The following is a 15018-nucleotide window of genomic DNA, read 5'->3' as shown; positions in this document are numbered from 1 at the left end:
ATGGTGAAACCCTATCTCTACTAAATTACAAAAATTAGTCGGAAGTGGTGGCGGGCACCTGTAATCCCAGCTACTCGGGAGGCTGAGGTAGAATCGCTTGATCCTGGGAGGTGGCAGTTGCAGTAAGCCAAGATTGCACCACTGCACTCCAGCCTTGGCGACAGAGCGAGACTCCCTCTCAAAAAAAGACCAACACCACCAAAAGTTGACAAGGAACTCCCAAACACTAACAGGAGTGTAAAATGGTATAACCACTTTTGAGTTTCTTACAAGAATGTTCACAGCAGCTTCATACATTAGAGCCAAAAACTGGAAATAAACTGGGTGTCCGCCAAGAGGAAAACAGACACAGTGATATGTTCATACCATAGAATAGAAACACAAATAGGAGGGCTGTTTAAAAACCAGCAGTACCCCCAGACAGGTTCACCAGGTGCTCTACACATAAACATTTCCTAGTTGCCTCAAATATACTTTTACATGATCTACACTTCCAGACACAGCTTTTTTTTTTTTTTGAACAGTCTTGCTCCATTACCCAGGCTGGAGTGCAGTGGCACAACCTCGGCTCACTGGAACCTCTGCCTCTTGGGCTCAAGCACTACCAAGCCTGGATAATTTTTTTTTTTGACACGAAATTATGTGTTTACATGCAGGAGGACTGCAGGATGCTGGCAACTGGGAAAGACCAAGTGTCTACTTAAATTTGCACCGGCCAGACAGGTGGCTGTTCTGGTTAAGCCAGTTTGCCAAGAGGCCAGGGGCCTGGCACTCCTTCACCTCCAAGGCCTCCCCATCCTACCTGCACTGGCGGGTCTGCATGCTGAATGTTGTCCTGCAAGTGGCTCATGAGCATGAGGTCGCGGGCCTGGTACCAGCGCGAGTGCAGAGCATGGTGGTAGATGTGGCAGAGGATGGCACATGTGCGGATCCGGTCTGTGCGGTCCTTGGCGTAGATGTACTTGCACAGTCTCTCCATCAACACAGCCGAGTCCTCGCCCTCATTTTCTGCCTGGTCTTGCTCAGACTGGGGAGGAAGGGAGGTTATTTGCAAAGGAGATCCAGCTTTAAAAGGCACAGGCTCTAGCAACTAAAGATGAGACTCTATCCAGTCTCATTCTAATACCTCAGTTTCCCTCCCTGCTCCACCTGCGGAAGTCTAGAGAGTAACAGATTTGCTGTCAAGTCCTGACAGAAGTGGAGGACAGGTGGACACACCCATTCCCCTCTGCCATGACTGCCACGTGCTCACCTTTGAGGAGCCCTCAGGCGGGGTCAGCTGTCGCTGATGGGCCTTGTAATCAAACTTGTAGTAGGTGTGCAGGATGCGCAGCAGGTAGATGCGGCAGACCTCCTCGGTAGTGCCCTTCTCCTCCAGGTAGCGCTGCACACGCTCGATGATGGCACACACCTGGGCCTCATCCTTCAAGTGCTCCACGTACTCTGGCAGGGAGAGCACCCACCCTTGTCTCAGCTGGGCAGCCAGGCTTTCCCATCTGTCCCCACTCATTCCAATCAACCCGTCCCTCTTCTGCACCCGTCAGAAAAGTCTAGTCAGTGTGCCCCAGAAAGGCCATCTCCCACTCCCAGGACCCAGAACCTTCCAGTCCCACAGCTTAGGAAAAAAATCCCAACTGCCAACCTCTGCCAATAAGGGTCTGCCAGGCCTGGCCCTTGCCTGGTCTCCCACGATTCTCCCTCTGGCTTCCTGTGCTGGAGTCCCACTGGCCTTTTTACTCCTGGAACATCAAGCTCGCTCTCTGCTCCTCCTGTCAGGCGCTGTCTTCAGCTGATTCTTCCCCTAACTCCTCCTCATTGGATCTCACCTCAGGTGGTCCCTACTTAAGGGTGCTTTCTCCAGCTGTTAGCTACAGCAGCCACCCCTCCAGCCACTTCTTACCACAGGGCCCTAGTTTAACTCTGAACTTTATATCATCTAGAATTATTATTATTATTTTTTGAGATGGAGTTTCACTCTTTCGCCCAGGCTGGAGTGCAGTGGTGTGATCTCAGCTCATTGCAACCTCTGGCCCGCTGGGCTCAAGGGATTCTCCTGCCTCAGCCTCCCACATAGCTGGGATTTACAGGCACCTGCCACCATGCCTGGCTAATTTTTGTATTTGAGTAGAGCCAGGGTTTTGCCACGTTGGCCAGGCTGGTCTCAAACTCCTGACCTCAGGTGATTCACACACCTCGGCCTCCCAAAGTGCTAGGATTACAGGCGTGAGCCACTGCACCTGGCCCAGAATTATCTTAACATCATACTATTTTTTTTTTTTTTTGAGATGGAGTCTTGCTCTGTCGCCCAGGCTGGAGTGCAGGGGTGTGATCTCGGCTCACTGCAAGTTCCGCCTCCTGGGTTCATGCCATTCTCCTGCCTCAGCCTCCCAAGTAGCTGGGACTATAGGCGCCCAGCACCACGCCTAATTTTTTTTGTGTGTGTGTGTGTATTTTTAGTAGAGATGGGGTTTCACCGTGTTAGCCAGGATGGTCTCAATCTCCTGACCTCGGGATCCGCCTGCTTCGGCCTCCCAAAGAGCTGGAATTACAGACGTGAGCCACCACGCCCGGCCATATCTTACTACTATTATTTTTCAATCTGCCTTTCTCCATCCAGCACAAAAGGTAAGCTTTTGGCTGCCTTGTTAATCACTACACCCTTGACTTGATGGGCACATTCACACTTTTACTGAGTAAACTATGCTGCACTTTCACACCCCAATGCCTCTCATCCAAGCTAAACAAGAGAAGTGAATAGATGCCTTACCCCAAAGGTTCTCAAAGTATAGCCCTGAGACCAGCAACCTGGGAGCAGGCTAGAGGTGCAGGTTCTCAAGCCCCACTCAGACCTATGGAATCAGAAACGATGGGACTGGGAGCCAGCATCTCATCAGGCCCTTCCGTGTGAACGCTAGGTAAGTTGAAAGGCTGGCTTTTCAAGCACTCTGACTTAGTATAATCCTCACAAAGCTCTAAACCTAGTAATATTCCCCACAATTTTCCTCTCAGCAAAGCCCACGCTTGCTCAGGCTCACCTTGGGAGTGAGGGTCAGTATTTTGCATTATTTTGGTAAATTCTTCATCCATTCGTTCCACCAGAGTTAGGATGCAGCCACGGACACGCAGTGGCTGAAAAGGAAGGCGAAGGAGGAGTCAACAAATTAGCCCAGATCTCAGTCTCAAACCTCAACCCTCGGGTCCCACTGAGCCTTCCCAAAGCATAAAATACACACCTCCAGTTATCCTGCCAACTCCTCCCTTTACCTGGTCAGCGTTGTGCAGGTTCTCACTCTCTTCCAGAATATTCTCTCCAACAAAAATGTTGGGATTTGCAAACAGGATATCCATCAGCTCATTGATGCAGTCCAGGCACTTCCCCCACATCTCTGGCTGCCAAGATTTCAGGCCACATCAGAGTCAGAGGTGTGAAGGTAGAGTAAGCGGATGCCTCCCCCTTCAGCAGGAATCATGGGGCCTTCCACCACCAAGACTGCCTCCATAGCCCCTGAGTCTTAAGATGCTAGGTACCTTCTTCCCCCAACCCACCAGCGATGCCCTGAGATGAGCCTCTTCACTGCTCTCACCTTCATGTAGGTTGCCAGGTTGGGGTTGTAGTCATAGAGAGAGGCGATGATATTGAACTTGATCTTGACAATGACGCCCTCTCCCAGGTTGTTTTCCGCTGCAATCTGAACCAGCAGTTGCAGCAGCTCAATCTGGGCAGCACTAGAGGGCCAGAGAGCTGGGTGAGGCTTTGGAGACAAATCACAAAGTCTCTCCCAGCATGCCCGCTTCGGATAACGCGCCCTCCTCATCACCCATATCCCTGCTTCTCCTTTATAAATTCCAAACAGAAGCAACAATAATCCCAACCATCCTGGAATGCTGTGAAATGCTTCACACCTACCACCATCCTCTGTTACCTAATAACTAAAGAAGGTAAACACTCTTTTACTTTTTTAATCTTAAAAAAAAAAAAAGCCAGGTGTGGTAGCTCATGCCTGTAATCCCAGCACTTTGGGAGGCTGAGGCAGGCGGATCACTTGAAGTCAGGAGTTCGAGACATGGTGAAACCCCATCTCTACTAAAAGTACAAAATCAGCCAGGGATGGTGGCGGGTTCCTGTAATCCCAGCTACTCAGGAGGCTGAGGCAGGAGAATCGGTTGAACCCAGAAGGCAAAAAGGTTGCAGTGAGCCGAGATCGCGCCAGTGCACTCCAGCCTGGGCAACAACGAGACTCCATCTCAAACAAAAAAAAAAAAAAAAAAAAAAAGAGGAGAACATTATCTCATTGTATAGATGGGAAAACAGATCCAAAACGTTAAGTGATTGGTTTTAAGTCACAAGAAGAGTAAACAGCAGATAATGGACGGGGATGCCCCAAGCATACAATTCCCTCTACTACAGCCACACACAGACCCTCCCAACAATCCCTTCCCCCAACCTCCACCCTCTGCCACCCTGCAATCCCACTGCCCAGGCCCACGAATCTTACCGATCAGTTCCCTTCTTGCCTCGTGCCTGTAGGATCTCATTCAGTTTCTTGATAACAACAGCATGGGTGATCTCAGTTCCCTTGGCAAACATTTTTGGCTTCTCCTGTATCAGCACATATCCCGTCATGTACATGCCAGCGGGAAACTGTCCTTGCCTTTTCCCCACAAGGGGACCTTTATGTCCTCCCAAACTGTTCCCCAATTCATTTTACCTCTGAAACCCTCACCTTAACCAACGGCACTCCGCCCCGGACCCTTTCCCACTCCCCGCCTTCATTGTCCTCCTCCTCCTCATCCAGGCGCTTGGATTTCCTGTCGTGCTTCTTCTTAGCTTTGTCCTCCCGTTTCTTCTCGGCTGCCTTCTTGTCCTCATCTGTGGTGGGTGCCCTGCCGACAGACATGGGAGAAGATGACAGATCAGCCCCTCCCCACCTCTAAGGCTTCTTCCTCCCATCAACTTCCTCTTTTCCTCCAGCAGCTCCTGGGTCCAAGTTATGCTCTACAACAATGACCTAGAGGGCACAGTGAACCATAACCATAGCCATCTCTAACAAGACAGAGTACTAACCAGGCCACTGTAGACATATTAATAGAAACAACCTGTCAGCTAAGCATGGTAGATCACTTGACGTCAGGAATCCAAGACCAGCCTGGGCAACATGGTGGAACCCCATCTCTACTAAAAGTACAAAAATTAGCCAGGCATGGTGGTGCACGCCTGTAGTCCCAGCTACTTAGGAGGCTGAGGCACGAGAATCACTTGAACTTGGGAGGCAGAGAAGGCTGCAGTGAGCCACAATCATGCCACTGCACTTAAGCCGGGGTGACAGAGCAAGACTCAGTCTCCAAAAAAACAAAACAAAACAAAACAAAAAAAAACCAACCTGTCATTTTGCTCCAAAGCTAACATCTACAGTTTTCCAAAGAATCCACAAACAACTTATTTTCTTTGATACCAGCTGCTTTCTCCAGACTGACCAACTAATCAATGAATCAGTTCCCCCAAATATATAAAAACATTTTTTTCTTTTTTACTATTCCTAAACTGTTTTATCGCTTTCTCTCCTCTCTTGACAACCGATTAATCTAAATTCTGAATTTAAAAAAAATGTTCATTACAAAAAAGGTCCCCACAAAACAGAAAAAGATCACCAGCTACCTTAAAATGGTCTTAGGCTACTGGATGTTGCCTGAAACCATCTCCAGACTTGAGTATGTATTTATGTAACAAAATACAAACCAAATGGCAAAGACAAATTACTTCAAACTTTGCACAGATACTGAAGAATAAATCTTTCCAGAAAGACTCAACATTTTTGAAAACTCATATGTAATAACCATAATCTACCATTTGAACATTTATAAATAAATTTCATTTTCACTGCTTAAAAGGTTTGAATATGTTTTTGGAATAGTCTATAAGTTTACCAGTTAAATTAAGTCTTCCCTTGCCAGAAGACCAATGCCATAACTCTCAACAAAAGTGTATGGACTGGCCAAGCACGGTGGCTCAAGCCTGTAATCCCAGCACTTTGGGAGGCCGAGGTGGGCGTATTGCTTGAGCCCAGGAGTTTGAGACCAGTCTGGGTGACAAGGTAAAAAGCCCGTCTCTATTAAAAACAACAACAACAACAACAACAACAACAACAAAAGCTTATGGATCTTTCCCCTGTACCACTGCAAGACTCTAATGATGACTCACTTTATAGGTAAAATCCTTTGCAAATATGCAAAGCATGTTCATTAAACTAAAACCTCTTGGTCCAAACCATCTGTATAGCTCTGAGATCAGAAGAACTAAAGCTATTTTTTAAAATGAATGCTTCAAAAGAACTTAAACTTCCTTGGCTAAAGTATTACTTCTAGCACTAAAGATAGTATGATACACACCTCAAAAGGGAAATGTACTATTGTATGAAATTCTAACTGAAAGACCTAAGACTTGGCTTGACCTCTCCTATGACAGATTATACTCTGGTATATTCATATCTTGTTAGAAATTATCAGATAACAAATGTTTATATCCTCAGCTATATAATCAACAGATAAAAGCAACATTTCTAAACGAGTATTACCTCTACTTAATACATAGTTAAGAGACTAAAAACTCATTATTGAGAGACACCAACGGAAGTCAGGCCTAACTACACTGCAGAGGACCACACCATTTTCCCATGCCTTCCCAACCACAACTACTGATGGAAAGCCCTAGATGTATACCCTTGCTTAGGATCCTAACTCGGACATTCAGTCTCACTAGAGATCCTGGGGTTCACTTAAAAAACAAAAACAAAAACAAAAAAACGCCTCCAGAATCAGGTAACTCTTAGAAGTAGACAGCAGCTCTGTAAGAGTTCACAGGTCGCTGGGCGCAGTGGCTCACGCCTGTAATCCCAGCACTTTGGGAAGCCGAGGCAGGCAATCAAGAGATAAGGAGATCGAGACCATCCTGGCTAACACGGCGAAACCCCGTCTCTACTAAAAATACAAAAAATTAGCCAGGCGTGGTGGCACGTGCCTGTAATCCCAGCTACTTGGGAGGCTGAGGAGAACTGCTTGAACCAGGGAGGCGGAGGTTGCAGTGAGATGAGATTGCACCACTGCACTCCAGCCTGGGCAACAGAGCAAGACTCCATCTAAAAAAAGAAAAAAAGAAAAAGAGTTCACAGGTCAATCATGACATCAGGTATAGATGAACTTCCCCCTAATACCTTCAGATCACCATAAGACAACAGATGGCCTTATCCCACATCAAAGAGGCTGAAGCTCATGAGAATAAACCCACTCCTTTACAAGCTTGTTTTGACCAAAAGATGAAGGCTGAGAAATGCTGATGATGGAAAGGGTATATTTAGACTGGCTGAATCTGGAGTTGCTGAAAACCCTTACTGGCAGAGGGCCTATCGTGTTTTCTAGAGCATCCACCAACCCTGGGTGGCATACTCAAGGAGAGTTAATATCAGAGTTTACACAGAAAAACGGGCAAACAGAATCCACTGTTCTGTGGTTTTGCCCTCTCTCCTTGTTCCTCTTTCTCCTATATAAATCCTGCTTTTGCTCGGTTGGAAATTAATCTGAAAATCTGTCTCCCTTGTTACACAAGTGAAATAGTGTCTGTGAATTATTCTTCTACACTACAAAGCCACAAACTCTCAATGTCAAAAAGATTCTGACACTTGAAATTCTAACTTTATTTTCTCAAGGGTTTTCCTCAGAACATTGATTCAACTAATTTTAGACTATTCTGATTAGGTATACAAGTTAGTTTACAGGTTAACAAAAAAAAATTTGGCTGGGTGCGGTGGTTCACGCCTGTAATTCCAGCACTTTGGGAGGCTGAGGTGGGCAGATCACGAGGTCAGGAGATCGAGACCATCCTGGCTAACACAGTGAAACCCCGTCTCTACTAAAAATACAAAAAAATTTAGCTGGGCATGGTGGCAGGTGCCTGTAGTCCCAGCTACTCAGGAGGCTGAGGCAGGAGAATGGCGTGAACCCGGGAGGCGGAGCTTGCAGTGAGCCGAGATTGCGCCACTCACTGCATTCTAGCCTCGGCAACAGGCTAGTGTCTCAAAAAAAAAAAAAAAAAAATTCAAGAATAACCTCTAAAAGCATAGCACGTCTAACTCCCAAACCAGCAGAAAAAAACAAAATGAATAATAAGAAAATATATATAACTAGAAACGGGGAAAAAAAAAAGAGGATGAGAAAATACATGTAGGCTAGGTGTGGTGGCTCATGCCTGTAATCCCAGTACTCTGGGAGGCTGAGGCGAGCGAATCATCTAAGGTCAGGAGTTCAAGACCAGCCTGGCCAACATGCTGAAACCTCATCTCTACTAAAAATATAAAAATTAGCTGGGCGTGGTGGTGCTCACGTGTAGTCCCAGCTACCCAGGAGGCTGAGGCCTGAGAATCACTTGAACCCAGGAGGCAGAGGTTGCAGTGGGCCAGGATTGCACCGCTGCATTCCAGCCGGGGCAACACAGTGAGACTCCTTCTCAAAAACAAAAACAAAAAACACACAAATAAAAGAAAAATAAAATACAGGCTGAATATCCCTTATCTGAAATGCTTAGAACCAGAAGTGTTTCAAATTTCAAATAATTGCATATATATAATGGGGTATCTTGGGAAGGGCTCCAAGTCTAACTATGAAATTTGTGTGTTTCATCTACACCTTATACAAACAGCCTGATGGCAATTTTACATAGTATTTTAAATAATTTTGTGCATGAAACAAAGTTTTGACTGCAACCTGTCACATGAGGTCAGATGTGGAATTGTCCACTTATGGTGCTCCAGAAGTTTCAGACTTTGGAATTAGAGATGCCCAATCTTTAGAAGACAGAATGAATTTCAAAATAATTATGATTAAAGAAACTACCCCCTCCAAATTATATACCGTTGATTCCATTTACATAAAATTCTAGAAAATGCTAACTTACCTAGTGACAGAAAGCAAATTAGTGGTTGCCCAGGGATAGGGTGAGGAAACTGAGGCAGGGAGAAGTATTACAAAGGGGAAGGTGGAAATGTTTAGGTGTGAAATTTTTAGGATATTATGTTTTGATTGTGGTGAGTTCTATGGGTGTAAACATATGTCACAACTTATTAAATTTAACTTTAAGGCTGGGTGCGGTGGCTCATGCCTGTAATCCCAGCACTTAGTGGAAGGCCGAGGCGGGTGGATCACGAGGTCAGGAGATCGAGACCATCCTGGCTAACATGGTGAAACCCTGTCTCTACTAAAAGTACAAAAAATTAGCCAGGCGTGGTGGCGGGTGGCTGTAGTCCCAGCTACTCAGGAGGCTGAGGCAGGAGAATGGTGTGAACCCGGGAGGTGGAGCTTGCAGTGAGCCGAGATTGCGCCACTGCACTCCAGCCTGGGCGACAGTGCAAGACTCTGTCTCAAAAAAAAAAAAAAAAAAAAAAAACTTTAAACAAGTGCAGTTATTGTATGTCATGTACACCTCAATAAAGCTATTACAAAATTTAAAATAAAGAGGATAAACAGAAAGTATAAGATACCATAAAATGGTAAGAATAAATGCATTGATAACCACAATAGGCTGGGCGCAGTGGCTCACGCCTGTAATCCCAGCACTTTAGGAGGCCCAGGCAGAAGGGTTACTCGAGCCCAGGAGTTCGAGACCATCCTGGGCAACAGGGCAAGACCCCATCTTGATAAAAACTAATTATGTAGACACATATATAAATAACCATCATATATATGTAAATAACTATAATAAACGTAAATGAACTAAATTGCCAGAGAAGCAGAGATCAAGTTCTGGCGGTCATTGCACAATGTGAACGTACTAAATGCCACTGATTTGTATACCTGAAAATGGTTAAAATGGGAAATGTTATGTATCACAATAAAAGAAAAAAAAAGCAGAGATTTTATGAGATTAAAAAAAAAACAAACCAAAAACCTAGCTGTGCTTAAGAGACACTCTTTTTTTTTTTTTTTTTTTTTTTTCCTGAGACGGAGTCTTGCTCTGTTGCCCAAAGCTGAAGTGCAATGGCGCGATCTCGGCACACTGCAACCTCCGCCTCCCGGGTTCAAGCAATTCTCCTGCCTTAGCCTCATGAGTAGCTGGGACTACAGGCGCAGGCCACCACACCGGGCTAATTTTTTTGTATTTTTAGTAGAGATGGGGTTTCGCCATGTTGGCCAGGCTGGTCTCGAACTCCTGACCTTGTGATTTGCCTGCCTCCGCCTCCCAAAGTGCTGGGATTACAGGCGTGAGCCACCACGCCCAGCCAAGAAACACTCTTAATCATACAGCATGGCAGAGTTAAAAATAAAAGGACAGGAAACGTCCTTTTCATAAACATCCTTTATCAGGTAGAGGGAAGCTCCCTTCTATTCCTAGCTTCAGTCTTTTATCATGAAAGAATATTAGGATTTTTTTCAAATGCTTTTTTTTGCATCTGCTGAGATGACTCTACGGCTTTTGTCTGTTATTCTATTGATATAGTATATTAGTTGATTTTCATATTAAAACATCCTTCTATTATTGGGATAAATCCTCCTTGTTATTAAATTTTTTTTTAAAACTTTTTTGGGAGATGAGCCCACCCATCCTCCATCCCCCTACAGGCAAGGAGGGGGTGCTCCCATATAATCCTTATTGTATGTTGCTGTGTTTGGTTTTCTACTATGTTGTTAAGAACTTTTGAGTCTGTATTTATAAAAGTATAGCTTTATAGTCTTAGAGTTTTTTTTGTTTTGTTTCGTTTTCTGAGACAGAGTCTTGCTCTGTCGCCCAGACTGGAGTGCAGTGGCACGATCTCGGCTCACTGCAACCTCTGCCTCCCAGTTCAAGCGATTCTCCTGCCTCAGCTTTCCGAGTAGCTGGGACTACAGGCGCCTGCCACCATGTCTGGCTAATTTTTTGTATTTTTAGTAGAGACTGGGTTTCACTGTGTTAGCCAGGATGGTCTCGATCTCCTGACTTCGTGATCTGCCCGCCTCGGCCTCCCAAAGTGCTGGGATTACAGGCGTAAGCCACCGTGCCCAGCCTTGATGTCTTAAGTTTAATTTTAGGCCCCATTTGCTCCCTCAGACAGGAGCCTTTGTGTAACACACATGTGCAGTGCACATCACACACCGGAGTCCACACAATGGGAGACTTCAATACACAATTATTCAAAGACAAAAACACAAAGTACAGTAGATATAAAAGACCTGAACCAATAGTAACGCTGATAGTTCTGTAAGATGTCAACAGGTTAAAAAAACGAGTTTCATGATCAAGCAAGTTTTTGAGATGGTTAATAAAACAAAGTTAGGTATATTTATTCTCATGGAACTTTCCAGAGGTGGTTGTAAACCCTCCAAGAAGGGGTGTGATAGACAATGTGGCCCAGACCTTGACCAGTGTTCCCTGAAGCACTGGACAAAAAAGGCCTTCTCAACAAAATGCCCACCAAGTAAGTTGTTCAGCCTCTCTAGACCTCTAGAGGGCTGGAAACTCACTACCTCCCTAAAGCAGCACGACCACAACTTTTAAACACAGGAAAGCAACCTTGAGAGCAATAATCTTCCCATTAAAAGGGTACTATTTGTCTGGGTGCAGTGGCTCACGCCTATAACCCCAGCACTTTGGGAGGCTGAGGCGGGAGGATCGCTTAAGCCCAGGAGTTCAAGATCAGCATGGGTAACATGGTGAAATCTTGTCTGTATTAAAAACACAAGAATTAGCCGGATGTACTGGAGTGTACCTGTAGTCCCAGCTACCCAGGAGCCTGAGGTGGGAAGATCACCTGAGCCCAAGAGGTTGTGGTTGCAGTGAGCCAAGATTGCATCACTACACTCCAGCCTGGGAAGAGTGAGACCCTGTCTCAAAAAAAGCACTTTTTATCTGTAGTTTGTGCAAACTGGCTAAGAAAAAATAAATAAAAGCACTATTTTTAGTGAGCTTGAGATTTCACTCCCATGGGATACAAAAGAGCAGGTATCACTTTTACTTCAAAGGGAGAAACTAAGACTTAAGGTCAAGTAACTTATACAATGTTGTACAGCTGATAAAGGCTGGGAGACAGAATCCACACTGGGATCCTCCCCTATTCTGACTGTCCCAGTAAAGGTCATGAACACTTGCGGCAGTCTGTATGCTGTATGTGTACTAAGAAGTTATCAGGAAGGGTAACACAGTAGCAACGCACACTGAGGGCTCACCACACGTCAGTCCTAGATGAACTACTTTCTTACATCACACCTCCCTGTATTCCTGCAGCTATTCTGGAAGGGAGGGTTCCCTGCCTTATTTTACAGATGAGAAAACTGAAGATTAGACAGGCTAAGTAGTTTGTCCAATGTCACACAGGTATCGGGTGCCAAAGTGAGATTTGCACCCAATCCACACGCAGTGAGTAAGGCTGTGGGTAAATATTTGGACTCTGGAGCCTTCAATTCTCATCTTTAGGACACATTAGCTTCGTGACTTTAGCCAACTAATGTACTTGACTCTCTGATCCTACTGTAAAATGCTAACAGTTGGCTGCTCCAACCTAAAAGGACTCCATGGAAGAATCAATAACCTTCCAGACAATTAAGAGCTTTCCACCAGTTCCAGTGTAACCCTAGGTCCCACTACTTTCCTTACTTTTTAAGAAATCTTGAGGCCAGCGCGGTTTGTTTCCCTTCTTCCTCCTCTGAGTCGGAATCGGAAGATGTGGAACCTGTGTCCCAGTCTTCATCATCTTCGGAATCTTCTGAGTCCTCATCTTCATCCTTAGAGGGAAGAAAAGAGGATCAGCAAGAAGACAGGGAGATTGACTGGTGTCTCCTCCTTACTAACGCATGTTCGAGATTTATTTACATGAGTAGAACAAGAGCAGCTACTCATGGAATCAAGATACCAAGGGCTGGGACTCACCATCAAGTCCCAGAGTGATGCTGCAATTTGGCCGCAGGAACACACACAGCTTCCCCTGGCAGAGCTGGGCCCAGATCCCTGTTTGCCCACTGCTCTGATGTAAGAGGAAGCTTGTTCTCAACTCCACTAAATTCCACCCCTCCCAACCCTAGGGGTTTGAGTCTTGTCTTTTTCCCCCAGGGACTCAGGAACTACCTCTGGCAGGAAATCATCCATCTAACCCTGGCTCTTACATCCATCTTTTTGAGGAACTTGCGACTCTCCCCAGAAGGAGCTTCTGATTTCTTCTTCAAGAAAGTTGCAGCACTGACTCCGTCCTCATCCTCATCCTCATCTGAAGAGCCTAGTGGTAATGGAGGGAGAAAAAGATCCTGAATGTTGAAAAGCCAGACTGGAGGGCAGCCAAGAAACCAGGCGAAGGGCAACACTAACTCTGGACTTCCTATTTGCAACAAAGGTTCTTTGGCTCACCTTCTGAATCCTCCTCATTTTTCTCAGCATCTTCATCCGCAGACTGCTCGGGGTTCTGGACAGAGAGGGAAGTGAGAGAACAATCATGGACGCTGTCCAGCCATCAGCCCACCCCACCCCTCCACCCCAGACAGTTCTGTCATCTTCCTGCTCCAGTCACACCTCCCACTAGCAATTCCATCTTTGGGCCTCAGTCACGGGGTCACTGTTCCCAGTTCAGTAAGTGTGCCTCTAGCCTCCCCACCTGCTTGTAGCTTGTGATATGGGACTCGAAATCACGGTTGTATTTTCGGATCTTCTGACGCAAGGTGCTCAGAGCCTTGGCATTGTTCTTGTTCATCTTCTTCTTCCCTTCCTTATCTTCCCAAAGCTAAAGGGAAGAAGAGGAAAGAAACAGAGAACAGTGATTTGAAACTAAGTAACATTTCCTAAACTCCAGGCTTCTTCTCCACTTTTGAGTCTTGCTATTGGAACACCACTGGTACTACTTATTAACTACATCTGTTAGCTTATTTTTAAAAGATCCTATACATCCCACCACTAAAAGTACAAAACCATGAATAAGTGGTGGTAATAAATATAGGCATCACACCTCATTAAGATAGTCCTCTAGGTCAGCCAGGATGCGGATATAGAACCGGGGGACACCTTCTTTGTCCACAATGCTTTTGGCCTTCCCATATGCTTTTCCCAGGAGCTCAAACTCTTCCAGGCACTTGGTGACATCACGAATCTTCATGGCATTACGGATGGTCCGGATAAGGTTGGTCAGCTCCTCAAACCTGGGTTGGGAGCCCGATACCACATTGAACGTGCCCACCGAGGGAAAACTCACCACTGCTCCCAGAGACTCCTATCACCCAGCCTCCCCACAGCTTCATTGCTCCCAGAGACTCCCATCACCCAGCCTCGCCATGGCTTTACCTCTTGTCCTTGGCACTGCGGACAACTCTCTTGGTATCTTCTTCATCCTCGCTCAGCAACAATGGCCTGTTTGGAAGGAACAGAGGCCATTAACCTCCTTTCCCAGTCTTTCCAAGAGATCCGTATTTCCCTACTCAGGACAGGTAGAACTAAGTAATCCAGGCCATCCACACCACACCCATCCTCTTTTTGACTCCTCCTCAGGGCCACTTCATATACAACTCAATCTTTTAAGTGTACACTAAGTAAGGCCTTTTGCTCAGTGTTGTAGCAACACAAAGATGACATTCACTATCCTCTCAAAAACAAATGAAAGTGCTAATTTACTGTGTAACTAATGACATAGAGACACAAGTCACCACAGAAGTAATGAATAAAAAAAGAGGTAGAGAAAAATGATACTTGAGCTATAATGAACAGAAAAGGCTTTAGGGAGGTGGTACCTAAACTAGATCTTAGCAACATTTCCCAAAGTATGAGAGGCCAACAGCAAGGAGAAAGTCTCAATGGTATTAACACCTCCACTGCTAGTATTTTTCTACGATAATAAGACCAGACCACAGGCTCACAGTCAGCAACAGTATCTCTACTCTTTTTGTTTGTTAAGAGATAAGGTCTCACTATGTTGCCCAGGCAGCCTCCAACTCCTGAGTTTCAAGGGATCCTCCCACCTCAGCCTCCAGAGTAGTTGGGACTACAGGCATGCACCATCTTGCCTGCCTCTTTTCCCTTTTTAT

At 45.6% G+C, this 15018-nt stretch overlaps 1 protein-coding gene and 1 non-coding gene across 10 annotated transcripts in view; both read right to left on the bottom strand.

Annotated features, from left to right (window-relative positions):
- The window catches only part of EIF3C (eukaryotic translation initiation factor 3 subunit C), a 47173-nt gene that overhangs the window by 7683 nt on the left and 24472 nt on the right, over window positions 1-15018 (bottom strand). For 7 of the 9 annotated variants that reach the window (XM_047434828.1, XM_047434827.1, NM_001199142.1 and 4 more), the window contains 13 exons: window positions 14282-14347; window positions 13950-14139; window positions 13602-13727; window positions 13358-13412; window positions 13120-13229; window positions 12614-12741; window positions 4725-4884; window positions 4497-4600; window positions 3585-3726; window positions 3265-3390; window positions 3036-3129; window positions 1253-1443; window positions 803-1027 (listed from right to left, as the gene is read on the bottom strand). In XM_047434828.1, coding sequence (XP_047290784.1) covers window positions 803-1027; window positions 1253-1443; window positions 3036-3129; window positions 3265-3390; window positions 3585-3726; window positions 4497-4600; window positions 4725-4884; window positions 12614-12741; window positions 13120-13229; window positions 13358-13412; window positions 13602-13727; window positions 13950-14139; window positions 14282-14347 — 1717 coding nt within the window. Of the gene's footprint in view, window positions 1-802; window positions 1028-1252; window positions 1444-3035; window positions 3130-3264; window positions 3391-3584; window positions 3727-4496; window positions 4601-4724; window positions 4885-7015; window positions 9773-12613; window positions 12742-13119; window positions 13230-13357; window positions 13413-13601; window positions 13728-13949; window positions 14140-14281; window positions 14348-15018 lie in introns of those variants that run through there. The other 2 variants (NM_001286478.1, XM_047434829.1) reach the window with 2 other exon arrangements.
- On the bottom strand, window positions 3727-3796 carry MIR6862-2 (microRNA 6862-2). The gene has a single exon (NR_107058.1). It is a non-coding gene; the product is annotated as a microRNA 6862-2 (primary transcript).

This window comes from Homo sapiens, chromosome 16 (genome assembly GCF_000001405.40).
Source record: "Homo sapiens chromosome 16, GRCh38.p14 Primary Assembly".
Taxonomy (NCBI): domain Eukaryota; kingdom Metazoa; phylum Chordata; class Mammalia; order Primates; family Hominidae; genus Homo; species Homo sapiens.
This window is presented reverse-complemented; position numbering and strand designations above follow the sequence as displayed.